This window comes from Homo sapiens, chromosome 7 (assembly GCF_000001405.40).
Source record: "Homo sapiens chromosome 7, GRCh38.p14 Primary Assembly".
NCBI classification, from domain to species: domain Eukaryota; kingdom Metazoa; phylum Chordata; class Mammalia; order Primates; family Hominidae; genus Homo; species Homo sapiens.
Window position 1 is genome coordinate 22,496,817 of NC_000007.14, and position 17,213 is coordinate 22,514,029.

At 42.6% G+C, this 17,213-nt stretch overlaps 1 protein-coding gene and 1 pseudogene across 10 annotated transcripts in view; both read right to left on the reverse strand.

Annotated features, from left to right (window-relative positions):
• STEAP1B (STEAP family member 1B) overlaps positions 1-3,372 on the reverse strand; it is an 80,745-nt gene extending 77,373 nt beyond the window's left edge. For all 10 annotated transcript variants that reach the window (NM_207342.3, XM_047420109.1, NM_001382447.1 and 7 more), the window contains exon 1: positions 3,298-3,372. The gene's annotated coding sequence lies outside the window, so the exon portion shown is untranslated. The remainder of the gene's footprint in view (positions 1-3,297) is intronic.
• Positions 13,501-15,246, reverse strand: EEF1A1P6 (eukaryotic translation elongation factor 1 alpha 1 pseudogene 6; annotated as a pseudogene).

Here is a 17,213-nt window from a genome sequence, read left to right on the forward strand (position 1 = left end):
AGACATGACTGTTCTTAAAACATTCTCCAAGTTTTAAAGGTTTAACTATAACAAAGGATAACGAGATGCTTTTATATACGCCAACATTTACTTTGTTGAGGTACTCTTAGAATATTTTCCAGATATTATCTATTTCAAAATTACAGAACATTCATGATGAAGATATCTGTTGTTTTAGTTTGCCCACATTCTTTTCTGATTTAAAACATTTCCTCCATTTGGAGAAATGCCCTTCCTCCCTCCAATGTGATTTTGGGAGATTGTGCAAAATAGTAACACTCATTCCCTCGTCACAGAAGTGGGTATATGACTCAGGCCTGGGCAATCAGTTTCCTGTTCTCCCATTGATTGGCTTAGCGATGGCACAGAACCTACTTCAAGCATGGTCATTCTCTGATATTTATATATGGAAGTGGAAGAGAGAGATGAGATGTCTTTAACATTTTGTTAAGATAGCACAGTATAAGCCTGCCATGCTTTTTTCTCCATGCTCTAAGAAGGAAGATGTTTTCATTAGAAAAGAAGAAAGCCAACATGGAAGCAGAACAAGAGCAGAGAAAGACACAGAAGAGTCCTGGTGGCATATTTCAGTATTTAGAGTCCCTGAAACTAGATCCTGAATTTTTCAGTTAGACAGTCAACACATTCCCTTTTTTTTTGGTTTAAGTTAGTGTGATTTGGGTGTTCACCACTGGCATGTAAAAGAATTCTGAGTAAAGCATATGCCAATCATCAAGTATTTATGAACCCAACTCTGTGACCAACATTAAAGAGGAAAAATAGAAATGACACTCATGCCTGCTCTGGAGGAAATGACACTCTATCTCCTTAACAGCATTATTCCAAGTCATTTGGTGACTTAACCAACTGTATTAGGCTGTTCTCGCACTGCTATAAAGAAATACCTGAGACTGGGTAATTATTATAAAGAAAGGAGATTTAATTGGCTCATGGTTCCATAGGCTGTAAAGGAAGCATGGCAACATCTGCTTCTGGGGAGGCCTCAGAGGGCTTATAGTCATGGTGGAAGGTGAAGTGGGAGCAGGCGTCTTACATTATTGCAGTGGTCCCCAACCTTTTTGGCACCAGGGACTGGTTTCGTGGAAGACAATTTTTCCAAGTAGGGGAAGGGGGATAGGGTTTTGAGGTGAAACTGTTCCACCTCAGATCATCAGGCAATAGTTAGATTCTCATAAGGAGCACACAACCTAGGTCCCTTGCATGTGCAGTTTGCAATAGGGTTCATGTACTTAGGAGAATCTAATGCCACCGTTCATCTGACAGGAGGTGGAGCTCAGGCAGTAATGCTCGCTGGCCTGCCACTCCCCTCCTGCTGTGCAGCCCAGTTCCTAACAGGACACTGACTGATACCAGTCTGCGGCCAGGGGGTTGGGGACCCCTGCACTAACGTGACAACAGCACCAAGGGGGGATGGTGTTAAACCATGAGAAACTGCTCCCATGGTCCGATCACCTCCCACCAGACCCCAGCTCCCGCACTGGGGGTTACATTTCAACATGAGATCTGAGGGGGAGACACAGCTCCAAACCATATCACCAACTTAATAGTTTGTGGGGTGGGGGAGGGAGGTGCTAGGAATGGAAGTGTCACCTACTATAATCAAATGTAAGAAATAATCCACTATGTTTAGAAGATCTTTTAACTTTGAGAGGTGCAGGATGGTAAGGATGCTAACAAATCCACCCACATTTATTCAGTATGAATTCAGTAACTATATTGTGAACAACAATGTAAGGCAGGAGGAATGCAAAGTTAAATGAGATAAAGCCTCTGCTCTGAAAAACCTTGAGGTCTAGGAGAGAAGGCAGGCATTTCAACTGCATGGTAGAGCGATGTATCCTAGAAGAGGATAAAGTTTTATAGGCAGATGGTGGCATGGGAAGGGAAGTAGAGGAAAAGGCTCAGCGCTGTCTTCTAGACCCAGTCCTGGGGTAGCTAGCAGGTTGGCAGTGTTTGCTGACTGATTGCCACTACAAAGAGTCTGGGTGGAAAACCAGAGTGGCCCTGGAGAGTTACCCAGCCATTTGTCTGCATGGTAAGGAGACCACACTCAAGAGCGAAGCCAAGGAAAAGCCCATGACAGTGAGGAAGCTTGTTGACTGTGTGGCCCACACTCAACTCTATGCCCATAAGCCAGGAAAATAAACTATGAGTCAAATAAATTTGTTGGTTTTCATCAGACATTAACCAAAATGTAATTTAAGTTCTACAGTAAAATCTTTTCATAAAAAGAAAAATAACAGAAAACAACCTAGTGTTAAAATGTTAGGAACCCCAGAATTCGACCCAAAGTTCTCTTTCACCCGCTTTTAAAAAAGTGGAGCACATTTCTAATGCGACTGCTGTTTTGCTGTACCAAGATGGCTGCCCTGGTGTTCCTAAATGTTGGCACAGCCCAACTGACTCATGTTTATGTCCCGCAGTTGAGAATATGAAGAAACCCAATGCCTGGAATACATTGTGGGTTGCACTGCATTTCCAACCTTTTATACTTTCAAGTGCACACTTGTTTTACATTTAACTAAGTGAAGTCGAGTTTTTTGGGTTTTTTTTTCACTGTGCTGTTTTTCTTTTTAAGCATTGCTTTCCCTCTGTGCTTAACATTCATGTTAAATGAATAACCTTTTATTACACGTCAGGATGTGGAGGGAAATGTATTTTACAAAAGTAACAAAGTAAGAAATTTGGAAGTGTACAAAAAATTTATGTCTACAAACTCCTTCCAGTGGATTTGACCAGAATTACATATTTAAAGCCTTGATTGACTATTTTGGAGGGAACCTGAACCCCACCCAGATCCTGAAAGAGTAGGGCCAGTGTTCTAAGGACTGAAAATGAAAACCTCTGTTACCAGGAAACCCGAAGACGAGAAGTAGCACGATTTTAAGTACTGTGCACCAGTCATTCGTCAATGCACAGCAAACTCTGGCGACTTTGCCACGTTAAAAAACTTGCCATCAAAATCCAACCTGAGCACAAACTTAATAATCTACCACAACCTTAAGCCCCTAGCGAAAAGGCTTCCTCTGAGTCCCTGGCTCCCCCCAGCCCCCGGCCCGGCCACAACCCAGCTGGGCTGGAAGACAGGGCGCCCCAGAGCCGCGCATAAGCGAAGAATTGAGCACCGCTCGCCCAGGAGGGCCGCCGTCCAGGTCACGAGAAGGCTTGCGACCCGCTACACCCCTCCCAAGACTGGGAGCGGGCGCCCAGCCTTGCAGGGACACGCAGGCGGACTCGAGGAGCAAACGGCCAGTGAGAACGATTCAAGGGACTCACCCACTCCTCGCCGTAGCTTGACCGTGAGTCTCAGCTGCCGCTGCTGCCGGGAGGTGCCGGCCCCACGCGGCGCCTGAGCCTCCAGAGCGCGAAGCCTCCAAGCCTGCTGCAGGCCCCGCCTCCTTGTCAGTTGCGCGTCCAGCGCCACCTGCTGGCGCCCCGCGTCCGCAGGGTTCGGGAACGTCCTTGGAGGCTAAGACTCCCCAAGTCGCACTCCGGCCTCTCCCAGTTTCCTCTCAAATGCCGTCTGCCCTGCCCTTGAGGTCCGTTTCGCGCCCTCCAACCCCTCGCCTTTTGTTTAATCTCCACTAAGGAACGTTTGTGCATTTCTCTAGAGCAGTGGTTCTCAGACTTCAGCGTGTATAAGATTACCCGGGGGCATATTAAAACACCGATTGTTGGGCTGTCCACCCACAGTTTCCGGTTCAGTATGTCTGGGATGAGGTCTGAGATTCTCATTTCTAACAAGTTCCCATGAGATATGGAAGCATTCCCAGATCACACTTTGAGATAGACCGTTTAGAGCTTACAAACCCTCCCACACGTTAGCTTATTTATTTTTATTTTATTTTATTTTTTTTTGAGACGGAGTCTCAGTCTGTTGCCCAGGCTGGAGTGCGGTGGCGCGATCTTGGCTAACTGCAACCTCCGGCCCCGGGTTCAAGCGATTCTCCTGCCTCAGCCTCCCGAGTAGCTGGGATTACAGGCGCCTGCCACTGTGCCCGGCTAATTTTTGTATTTTTAGTAGAGACGGGGGTTTCACCATCTTGGCCAGGCTGGTCCTGAACTCCTGACCTCGTGATCCACCCGCCTCGGCCTCCCAAAGTGCTGAGATTACAGGCGTGAGCCACCGCGCCCAGCCACCTTATTTAAAACCTAACAGCCGGTCCTGAAGTGGCTGTGATTGACAGTTTGAGGAATCCGAAGCTGAATTTCTGAGAGTGACTTGCTCCCTGAATTGTTCAAATTGTGTACCTTTAATCGCACAAACCCTGCTCCCCAGCCGAAAAAAAAAACCCTTAAACCCCATGTTTACTCCGTCCCTCCCTTCCTTGCCTCAGCTTTTAAGTGCAGCTTCCCATATCCTAGCTCAATGAAGTATTCCAAACCTAAAGTAAAGTTAACTGTTAATATTCCAAGGTTTTAGAAAAAGACAACTTGAGCAGGGGATTTACTTCTCTCCGTTGGAACCAGCCTCGAGATAGGGTCTGAGACATGAATTGCAAAATTCTGGGGATTTGGTATACAACATTCTCAGGACTAAGCTGAGTAGAAAACACAAAGGAAAATAAACGCGCAACCACATTTTCCATGATTGTTTTTTATTCACAGCTAGGGCACCGAAGACTGTTCATGTTTTAATATAAGCATTTTCTGTAGTCACTGACTTTCCATGGATTAGTTTAAAGCCCTTTGAAGATTAAATTACCGTGGACTGACACCTTGTGGTGGAAATAGAATCTTACACCTGTTGTTTCTAGTGAAACTAGAAAATAATTTTAAAGTTTTAGAAAAGAAATCTGTGTAATCTTTGTATGTGTAGCACAGACTACAAAGAATTAAGACTATTTAACCAAGCATTGTTGAGTTTTAAAAGTGATCATGGGTCTTAAATGGTCAGACAAAACGATATGCTTTTATTGTTTAACATTTGGTAGAACAAAGGTCATTCTCTTTTTCACAATATATTTTCCATATGAAAAGGGCAAAGAGTTATTATTGTGTTAACATAATAATATATATTGATATGAATATGGCTATATAGCAAGCTGCACTTAAAACTGCTTTTCCTTTTCTAATTAAAACATTTAAAATCAAACCCCAAATATTTTTGTTTTATAATTAGACTTTGGCAATTTTATTTCTGCACTTCTTATAAAAGTTTTTTTTGCCCAATATTTTAGTGTGGAGAATAAATAGAGTATGTTCCAAAGTGAAATGATTAAAAGTGTGAGATTTATCAATTAGTTTGTAGATATTATAAAAGCAACACAATATTCGATTAAGAAAAACATGTTACTAAAAAGCTTTTATTGAGTCGCCAGCAGTTAGTATCACAGATGAACTAGCTGCAGTTTTTGCATACAAATAACCTGTAATTTGAGGTATGAGATAAAGAAAAAAAATTTTTGTGGGGGGGGCGGGTAATACAATGCCAGAGCATCTCAGAATGCTGAGTCAGCCTCTTTAGCACATACTTTTAAAAACAAGTGTGGCTTGTGGAAAGCCACATTATGCTATTGCAAATGTTGAAAGGCAAGTTGCTAGTTTTGCTGTGACTCTAAACAACTAGAGGATTTAAAATGGGAGTTTGCCCACGAGTTACAAATAAATTTAGATCTTTCAGAATATTCTGTAATAAACTTAAACTATAGTGAGAGCGCATATTAACATAATGGACCTCAGTGTCATTTGAGGTCAAATACTAAACTGGTGACTTCATAATAACATGCTGTGGAGAAAATATAATTTAGAATCCATGAGTATTTTTGCCTGACAAATAAGCAACCTGATCTTAGAACCTGATGAGACGACCACTTTAAAAGTAAATGAAATACTATGGTGTGAGAGATAAAATAAAAAATATCATACTATTAAAGATAATCACAATGAGAAATAGACAGTAAATTTTAAGTGAATGACAAGAATTATATTTTTTCCTTTGGAAATCTAACTCCTGAGGGGACAGCAATTTAAGTAATGATCAACACTATTTCCAAGTCTGCCTCTTACGAAAGAAGAATGGTCAGACTTTTATTTGAAACGACTGCAAAAATTACCTAAGTTCAAGAAGAAATATTTGGTCCAAATGATTGTTTTAAGACAGACATGATAAGGCTTCACTCGCCAAAATTTCTGATTCTATTAACCTCATATGATACATTCTCTTTACTAGTTCAAGGTCTACTGTAATCTTCAAAGTATGTGGTCAGTTTGTCCCTAGTGTCTGCGTTTAAAAGTGGTTGGGGGTAGAGAGGAGGTCTGTTCTTGGGACTGGAGGTTTTAACTATTCTTCTGAATTCTTTCTCCCAAACTCAAAGTCCCTTATTGCTCTTTCACCAAGACAGGCAACAGTAAACATCTTTTCAGGTAGGTTGTAAGAGTAGGTGCTTCATTTCCAAGCTCACAGATCTCTGCCTGAGTACTGTTCAGTGATGTTCAAAATGCTGTGATATATTCCATTGGCTTTAAATATGTTGCGATCTATGAAAAGACTAAAGTTCCTGGCAATGGTGCCATATTAAGCCTTATCAGTTATTTACATCCTACTATAAAGAATATTTCAGCTTCTTCTGAAAGTACGTTCTGGCATGGAGAAAGAAATATCAGCATACCGAACACTTATAATAGAAGGTTATGAAGGGGTTATACCTTAGGGAAAAAAGAAGGTATCATTATCCTCATTTAGAGGATATGGAGAAATTAAGGCTCTGTTTCAAAGCAAGTCTGTAAATTCTTTAACATTCTTCCCATCAAGAAGAGAGACCTATCTCCTGCCCTGGAACATGGGCAGCACTTTTGACTGTCTCCGTGCATATAATATGGTGGAAGTGACACTGCTTGACTTGTGAAGCTGGATCACAATGGGTTATTGACTTCCACCAGCCTGTCTCCGGGTACAGGTGACTTCATGTAAGAAGTCTAACTACCCTGACAGAGAGTCCACATGGAGGGAGCACACTGTAACAGACAGAGGTGCCTGAGGAGCCCCGGCTGTTCCAGCCGCCGGCTATTTAGGTCTTCCCAAGTCAGGCACCAGAGAGTATGAATGGAAAGGCCTTCAAGGGAACTCTAGCCCCAGCCATTGTCTGATTGTCACTGCATGAGGACCAAAAACTGCCTAGCTGAGCCCCATCAACCCCTAAAGAAGTGAAAGATAATAATGACAAATGCTTGCTGTTGTTTTATAGCACCAAGTTCTGAGTGGTTTGTTGTGCTGCAGGCTCCAAGAGAAGTAACTTTCTGAGAGCACTCAGGAATTTCTTAGTGGAACTGGGGCTAGAATCAATTCGCTGCATTTAATGCAGTATTAACCAGACAACTGTGTTGGGCCCTGGGGACCAGAGAAGAATTAAGACACAGCCCAAGCCTTGCCCTGGTCTGAGCTTCCTCTTCCTACCTTCATATTCATGGCAGCTTCTTCTTGCTGGGAGTGGGATAGAGGAGCCCTAGGGCTGCTGGCTTCTGGAAGGAACTGGCTCCAGGGCACCCTGGCTATTCCCTTGCTCCATGCTGTGTGCAGGTGGCTCTGGCACCAAGAGGTGGCACCAAACCTGCCGCCAGCCTTGGCTTTCTCACCAGTCGGGCTCTGATGAGTTGATAGACTGTGTTTGGAATTGAGCATGGCGGTATTACAAAGGCAAGTGGGTACCACACAACCTGCCTGCAGTGTTGCTTTGTTCTGATGAATTACACCAAGTCCCTGGATTCACATTTGGCTGGATTGTCAGGAAAAATATGTGTTCTGGGTGCCAGCTGATCTTTTCATCTAGCTTCTGCCCTCAGGTAAACATTCCCTGTTAAAATTCTAAATGTTCATCTGCTTCCTCTAAAGAGATTGGTAAAAAGGCATAAAACACCTAAGAATCAGTGTTACTTGTAATGAGCCCAGGGCTGCTGCAGGGGGCACCATATACATAGAATAGCAGGTGAGCGGGGTCCCCAGGGCCGAAGTATTATGCTCTAGGCCAGAAAAAGGATATATTTTTTTTTTATTTCTGGGATACAGATAATGTATTTTCACATAACATCCACGTTTCATGAATTAAGCCAACAAATATTTACCAAGTATCCTTTAAATCCTTTAGTATTTAAAGTATCATTTTTTGCAATATATATATGAGGGCCAACTTATTTTTGCCTGTCATGAAATCAAAGGCCAATTAAATAATCACTTCCAAATTTATATTTCTGTTTTATAGGTTTTCTTTATTCAAGGCATTCTTGTACAGTAAAGGGCAGGAAAAGGAGAGGGAGAGGGAAAGGGAGAAGAGGAAGAAGGAGGAAGGTGTGTGTGTTGGGAGTAGGGAGAAGCTTTGCAAATGGTAAACCTGGGTTATTATTTGACTTTTGGTTACAAAAAAAAAAGTTGCATCAAATTAAGCAGTAAGCAATCATGAAGCAGGCAGTGACATGCATTGAGCAGATTTTCCTAAATCATCTTCCCCAGAACGCCAATTCACTAAGATGTTAATAAGCATTTTCCAAATAAAGATTTTCACTTTTCAGATAAATTCAGGACTGGCTGCATCTCCACTTCTGGTGAGTGACAATTCGTTTTAGCATGTTAAAGGCTCTGGAAAACGCTAGGGTAAAAGCAAAATGAAACACAAAACAAGAAGCTTGATTGACTTCCTTTAGCCTGGCACCCCCCAGATGCTGAACCTCTGTTATTGAAGTCGCTGAGGAACAGAGCCCATGGCACATGTGGAAAATCCTCTGCTGGATGAGGTGACTGTGGGATGGTCTCTGCTAGCTCCCTGCTAGGTCAGAGTGGAGCACTGGAGAAACACCAAACTCTTACCCAGGAGGGAAAAGGTCTGTTTCTCTGGCATCCTGCCTTTTGGTAGGGAGAAAAACTTCCAGTTTGAGTCTGAGGTGAAAATCGCTTTCCCCTTGCATCAAAGTCATGGAAACCCTGATGTGCCATTATACCATTCAACATTCCCATCCCTGCAGTGCCTCAGGCTTTTGCAGTTTGCCCTCCTCATGCCCTTTCCTGGATCATGACCTTCTTTCAGCTGCCATTCCATTTTCACAGTCATTTCCATGCCCCATTTGGCTAACTCACCACTCCCTCAAAAGGAGATGCCCAGGTCAAAAAGCAGAGCTTTGCCCCATGTCCTTCCTGGAGTCTGGAGACTCCTGCTGAGTCCAGAAGGAGCAGCGAGCATGCCAGAGAAGGGCTCCTGCTAGGGACTGCTTCTGCTGTGAACATTTGGGTCCTGTTCCTGTGCTTTCCCACACCTCTCCCAGATGCTGCCGCAACCTTTACATGAATGCTCAGCCTCAGTTTCCTTCTGTCTCAAATGTCCTTATTTCAGGGTTGGGATAAAGAGTAAAAAAAATATGTTTAGAGTATTAAGCCTAGTGCCTGCCTGCAATAGGTGCTCAACAAATAGATGCTATTACTGATCATCACTATTCTTGCCTTATCTTCCCAAAGCGCCTCCATACTGAGGATACAAATGAGGTCAGGTTAACAGGACCAATTTAAATCTCACTGATTGCTTGGCCTCATTTGCACCTGCAGACCTTCACACATCCTCCACCTGTAAGCTCCAGGCCAGTATTTCTGGGACTCTCCAGAGGGTGTCTCATGGGTATGTAAGAATGAGTCCGCTCTCTGTGCCACACAAGCCTGCTCATGGCTCACTTGTCACCAGAATGCCCGCCACCAGCTGTCACAGCTCCACGGGGTGCAGGAGTGAGGCCCTGGCTCCACCTGGAACAGCAACTCCATGTTGGTGGTTATGGACTGTGTGCCACCCATCTGCTCTTCTGTCCTAAGAACAGACTGTGGTGTGGTCTCTGAGCAGACAGCTTTTTGTGTTACTGGCTGTCGGACGGGGGCCGAGTAGGGCTCCTTGAGACCTCGCATGTTAGAATTTACTGACAGAGTTTTTCTTTTTGGAATTCTCACCTTTTTCCTCCTTAGGAAAGGAGCTGGGCTAGGGACGGGATGAGTCACTTCCTTCACAGGGAGCTTGGAGTCTCTGCTGTCTTCACCACTGAAGACTTTGTTGTCAGGTCCAGCGTCTTGCTCTGGCACTACCTCATGTGGGAGGTGTTCTCCCCTGGTGGTCTATTCTGTTCCTTACAAGCAGTCAGCCCCCATAGTGGGCCCAGACTGAGTCCTCTTCCAGGAGGCTCTTCTGCCTGTGCAAAGGGGCCACTGCCAGGCCCAGCCCTCAGTGCGCTGGTCTCTGTCTCAGTGGCCCGACCATGGTGCTCATCTATGGGAGCAAACTCTCCCGCATCTCCATCCTCCTCACAGCACTAGCCACTGTGGTGACCATGGGTCCTACCCGATCCTGCTGGTGACTCCCTGCCACCATTGCCAGGACACAGCTCTTTCTGGCCCAGAGTGACAATTCTGGCAAATTTAACTTGATATTGGCTATCCAAGGACAAGTATATGGTGAGCACTAACCACCAGGCATTGTGTCTAGCTTCTGGCTCTCATGGATTTGCTAGGATTCCCCTGTAATGGCGGTGGTGGTGACAGAAGCTTACTCTACCCTGGGCAGGAGCCAGGCTGCAAACCCAAGTCTGGCTAAATCAAAAGTCCAGGCTTCCTAGAGATTCACTGTCTCTTTGTTCCTTACTGGAATCTTTGCTCTTATCCTCACACCTGTGCCACGCAAATCTCCTCAGGAGCTAGGCTGATCATGAATGGACCCCGCACAGTCTGCCCAGCATGCTCCTCCCCATTGCCTCTAAGCTGGCCAGGACCCTGGGGGGCTTTCCCCATGCACTACCCTGACACCTTTCTGGGGCACCATAGTAACTATCCACAGCCCCTCCTGGAGTGTGGCTCTTCATCCTGAGGTCTAAAGTCCTGATAATCTCCCCCAGTGAACCTGCAGTTTCTCTGAGGAGCCAGGTCCTCTGAGGACATGGGTCCCCTGGTGACTGCTTTGCCATTACTGGACCTTCTCAGATGAGTGTGCAGACCACATCCCATGATCCCCAAGGAGCATTAGCCCAGAGGAAACACCTGATCAATCCCTGCCAATTTACGCTAAAAGCCACCATTTTAAAAAAAAAACAAAAAACCCTCATCAGGATGACCTCCTATACCACAAAACCTTGCCCTCAGCAGAACTCTCTATAGGTCTCAAAGGTGACAGTATGAAGCACTGCTGGAAATTCCCACTCTCCTAGCATCCTATTTATTGATCACATAGCTGCCTTCCAGGGGTGGAACCACTGGGAAATGTGTATGAACAGCACTCATCAACCATCACGTTTTTATTTGGCATTAGCTCCATGCCCCGTGAAGTGCCAGGTACAGACTGAGATTCATTTAAAAAATAGAAAGCATGGTCCTGTAAATAATTTGCAACTAACCAGGGAGATACACTTACACTGGAGAACTGAAGAACAGCTACAAGTACGCACTGTAAGTAGGAAAGTTCTACAGCTTCCCTGGCTTCCTCCCACTCTCAGCCCTGCAAGCTCACCCAAGCCGAGCAGCCCACTGGCTGTACCTCAAACGTGCCAAGCGACTCCTACCTCAGGGGCTTCTCCTGGTTATTCCTGTGTCCTGGAAAAACCTTCTGCCAGACCTTCCCAATACTCCCTGCCTCTCTTCCACCCATTCTCTGCTTCAATTCCCCTTCGCAGAGAGGCCTCCCCAGTCACTGTCTCTAAAACAGTTCCTCCTCTTACTCACTCTTCTTACTTTGCTTTAGTGTTTCTTCATAGCACTTGTCACTACCAAATATCCCACTTGTTATTTACTTGTTTTTTTGTGTGTATTAACTACATATATATTTCGGTTGAAAGGTCTGTTCAAAACTTTGATCCTTTTTGAAATTTCCTTGTTTTTTATTGTTGCATTTTAGAGTTTTTGAGTTTATTCTGTTTTGTTTACTGTAGTATCTCCAGAGTCTGGAATAGCACCTGCCACAAAGGAAGCTATTTCCTGAGGAAATGAGGGAATAAATGAAGGGATGGATAAATGAATGAATGAATGAGACAGACTATGCCTCGTGGTAGGATTTATATAAAATAAGAATAATATAAAAATAATGCAATTTTATATATGCATATCACTCATTCCATATATGTGATTGTGAGATGTATCCCATCCTGTGTGGTGTGTGTCTGTGGGTATGTATGTGTGAGTGGTGAGTTTGTGCATGCTGCTTATGTGGATCTAGCCAATTGACCACTGTGCAGGAGGAAGAACTCAGAACTTGGAGTCAGGAATCCGGCTTCACATCCCTGCTCGGTCACTTGTTAACTATATGACAGTAAGTATGTTTCTCGACTTTTCCAAACCTGGGTTTATTCACGTTAACATGGGGATAAAAGTACCTCTTTCATAGATTTGTTATGGGGGTGAAATGAGACAACATACAACATAATTAAAACACCTTACAAATGAGAAATGCTTAGAAAAAACTATTTTTTATATGTATGCTTTTCTTTTGATTTCCTAATTTTTAATTTACATAAGGTAATATTCACCGATTTTAGTGTATAGTTGTATGATTTTGGATCCCAATCAAGTTTTGGTTTTTTTTTTTGGAGATGGAGTCTCGATTTGTCACCCAGGCTGGAGTGCAGGGGCACAACCTCGGCTCACTGCAAGCTCCGCCTCCTGGGTTCACGCCATTCTCCTGCCTCAGCCTCCCCAGTAGCTGGGACTACAGGTGCCTGCCACCACGCCCGGCTAATTTTTTGTATTTTTAGTAGAGACGGGGTTTCACCGTGTTAGCCAGGATGGTCTCGATCTCCTGACCTCGTGATCTGCCTGCCTCAGCCTCCCAAAGTGCTGGAATTACAGGCGTGAGCCACCACACCTGGCCCCCAATCAAGTTTCATGACCCAAAGTGTTCCTTCTAACTGCCCCCCATTTGGGGCAACTTCTCTCACTCCAAACTGTTGGCAACCACTGATTTGTTCTTCTTTCCTGTAGTTTTGCCTTTTCCAGGGTAGCGAAACGGATTACCATATGTAGCTTTTTGAGCCTAGCTTCTTAAATTTAGCATAATGAATTTGAGAATCTTCCATGTTGCATGTATCAATAGTTTGTTCCTCTTTATGGCTGAATTTTTCTTATTCATTGTGTATCCATTCACTAAAGGACATTTAAGTTGTTTCCAGCTTTGGGTGATTATGGATAAAGCTGCCATATTACATTTGCATAATGGTTTTATATGAACATAAGTTTTCATTTTTTTGGATAAGTACCTTAAAATGAGATTGCTGGATCAGATCGTCAGTGTGTATTTAAGTTTCTTATAAGAAACTACCAAACTGTTGTTCAAATATTTCAGTGGCCTGAATCCTCACTAATACATTGTACTGTCATATTGTGTTTAAACTTTAGCCTTCCTAATTGGCAGGTAGTGGTTTCAGTTTGTATTTCCCTGATGTCTATTGATGTTGACTGTCTTTTCATGTGCTTACTTGCCATACATATGTATTTTAGTTGAAGTGTCTGTTCAAAATTTTGATTCTTTTTTTTTTTTTCTCATTTAACTTTTTTAATGGGTCTCAAAATTCTGTGACAAATTTTTGGTCCAGTTGTTTCCATTAAAAAGTACTGATTTTAAAAACTAATAACTTAAAACTGCCACACGCAAAAAAGAAAACCAAAGTGGTCCACAAAACATTCTCCTTTCCTTCTGAAGGTTTTACGATGCATTGTTATCATTAACCAGTCTTTTACTACTAAACTTAAATGGCCAATTGAAACAAACAGTTCTGAGACCATTCTTCCACCACTGATTAAGAGTGGGGTGGCAGGTATTAGGGATAATATTCATTTAGCCTTCTGAGCTTTCTGGGCAGACTTGGTGACCTTGCCAGCTCCAGCAGCCTTCTTGTCCACTGCTTTGATGACACCCACCGCAACTGTCTGTCTCATATCACGAACAGCAAAGCGACCCAAAGGTGGATAGTCTGAGAAGCTCTCAACACACATGGGCTTGCCAGGAACCATATCAACAATGGCAGCATCACCAGACTTCAAGAATTTAGGGCCATCTTCCAGCTTTTTACCAGAACGGCGATCAATCTTTTCCTTCAGCTCAGCAAACTTGCATGCAATGTGAGCCGTGTGGCAATCCAATACAGGGGCATAGCCGGTGCTTATTTGGCCTGGATGGTTCAGGATAATCACCTGAGCAGTGAAGCCCGCTGCTTCCATTGGTGGGTCATTTTTGCTGTCACCAGCGACGTTGCCACGACGAACATCCTTGACAGACACATTCTTGACATTGAAGCCCACATTGTCCCCAGGAAGAGCTTCACTCAAAGCTTCATGGTGCATTTCGACAGATTTTACTTCCGTTGTAACGTTGACTGGAGCAAAGGTGACCACCATACCGGGTTTGAGAACACCAGTCTCCACTCGGCCAACAGGAACAGTACCAATACCACCAATTTTGTAGACATCCTGGAGAGGCAGGCGCAAGGGCTTGTCAGTTGGATGAGTTGGTGGTAGGATGCAGTCCAGAGCCTCAAGCAGCGTGGTTCCACTGGCATTGCCATCCTTACGGGTGACTTTCCATCCCTTGAACCAAGGCATGTTAGCACTTGGCTCCAGCATGTTGTCACCATTCCAACCAGAAATTGGCACAAATGCTACTGTGTCGGGGTTGTAGCCAATTTTCTTAATGTAAGTGCTGATTCCTTAACAATTTCCTCATATCTCTTCTGGCTGTAGGGTGGCTCAGTGGAATCCATTTTGTTAACACCGACAATTAGTTGTTTCACACCCAGTGTGTAAGCCAGAAGGGCATGCTCTCGGGTCTGCCCATTCTTGGAGATACCAGCTTCAAATTCACCAACACCAGCAGCAACAATCAGGACAGCACAGTCAGCCTGAGATGTCCCTGTAATCATGTTTTTGATGAAGTCCCTGTGTCCTGGGGCATCAATGATAGTCACATAGTACTTGCTGGTCTCAAATTTCCACAAGGAGATATCAATGGTGATACCACGTTCACGCTCAGCTTTCAGTTTATCCAAGACCCAGGCATACTTGAAGGAGCCCTTTCCCATCTCAGCAGCCTCCTTCTCAAATTTTTCAATGGTTCTTTTGTCGATGCCACCGCATTTATAGATCAGATGGCCAGTAGTGGTGGACTTGCCTGAATCTACGTGTCCAATGACGACAATGTTGATATGAGTCTTTTCCTTTCCCATTTTGGCTTTTAGGGGTAGTTTTCACGACACCTGTGTTCTGGCGGCAAACCCGTTGCGAAAAAGGTCAAAATTTTGATTCTTTTAAAAATTTCCTTGTGTTTTTATTGTTGCATTTTTGAGATCTTTTTATATTCTGGATACAAGTCTTTTGTCATATATGTAATTCACAGATGGTTTTTTCCTAGTTTGTGGCTTTTCTTTGCATTATTTTGACGATGTCATTTGCAAAGCAAATTCTTAATTTTTAATGAATTCTAATTTACCAATTTTTTTCCTTGAAAGTATTGTTTTGGTGTTATTAATATAAGAATTTTTGCCTAATTTAGGGATGTAATAATTTTCTCCTATATTTTCCTTTAAAAGTTTATAGTTTTACATTTTATACTTAGCTCTATGATTCATTTTGAGTTAATTTTGTTAAAAAGACTATCCTTTCTCCGCTGAATTACCTTTTGTATGTTTTTAGAAATTCAGTTGACCATATTTATATAGGTCTATTTCTGGGCTTTATTTTATTTGATTGACTTAGGTTTTCATCCTTTTGCCAATATCACGCTTGATTACACTAACTTGAAATAAAGTGGTATGAGTTTTCCAACTTTGCTCTTTTTCAAATTTCTTTTGCTATTCTCATTCTTTTGCTTTACCCTATATACTTTAGAATCAGCTTGCCAATGTATATAAATAATTTTGTGGAGATTTTGATTATAATTGCATTGAACCTATAGATAAATTTGGGGAGAATTGACATCTTGTGAATATCCCATAAACACAGTATATCTTCCCATTTATTTGGCCTTTCTTTGGGATTTTTTTTTTAAATCAGGGTTTATAACATATAGATCCTGCTGATATTAAATTTACTCTTAATATTTTATTTTATGGCACTATTATAAATGGCATAATGTAAGATTTCAATATAAATTATTTATTGGTAGTATATAGAAATACATTCGTTTTTTTTTTTTTTTTTTTTTGAGATGGAGTCTTGCTCTGTTGCCCAGGCTGGAGTGCAGTGGCATGATCTTGGGTCACTGCAACCTCTGCTTCCTGGGTTCAAGTGATTCTCGTGCCTCAGCCTCCCGAGTATCTGGGATTACAGGTGCGTGCCAGCACGCCTGGCTAAGTTTTTCTATTTTTAGTAGAGATGGGGTTTCACAATGTTAGCCTGACTGGTCTCGAACTCCTGACCTCAAGTGATCTGCCTGCCTCAGCCTCTCAAAATGATGGGATTATAGGTGTGAGCCACCATGCCTGGCCAAAATTAATTTTTATATATTGATCTTGTTAGTCAATTATGATCATGAGCTCTAGAGCTTTCTTAGAGATTCCTTGGAATTCTCTACATAATGCCTTTTATTTCTTTTTCTGGCCTTACTGCACTGGCTAGGCCTTCCAGAACAATGCTGTAAAAAAGTGGTAAGGACAAAAGTCTTTCTCTTGTTTCCTATTTTAGGGGAATGCAGTCTTTTTCCATTAAGTGTGAAATCAACTATACAGTTTTTTCTACATGCCCTTTATCAGTTTAAAAAAAATTTCCTTCCATTATTAGTTTGCTGAGAATTTGTATAATGAATAGATATTGAAAATTTCAAATGTGTTTTCTGTATCTATTGAAGCAATCATGGTTTTCCTTCTTAACCTATTAATATAGTTAATTATATTGATTGACTTTCAAATGTTGAACCAGCCTTACATTCCCAAGACAAATCCTGCTTAGTCATGGTACATTATCCTTTGTAAATATTGCTGGAATAGATTCACTAAAATTTTGTTCAGAATTATTTCACCTATGTTCATAAGGGATATTGGTCTGGTTTTAATGCTGGTCTAATTCTAGCCTAATAAAATGGGTTGTAAAGTATTTCCTTCTTTTCTATTTTTGAGAAAAGATTATATAGATTTGTTACTTCTTCCTTAAATGTTTGGGAGAATTACTCAGTAAAACCATCTGGATGTGGAGTTTTCTTTTTTGAAGTATTTTAACTACAAATTCAATTTCTCTAATAGATATGAGACAAATCAAGTTA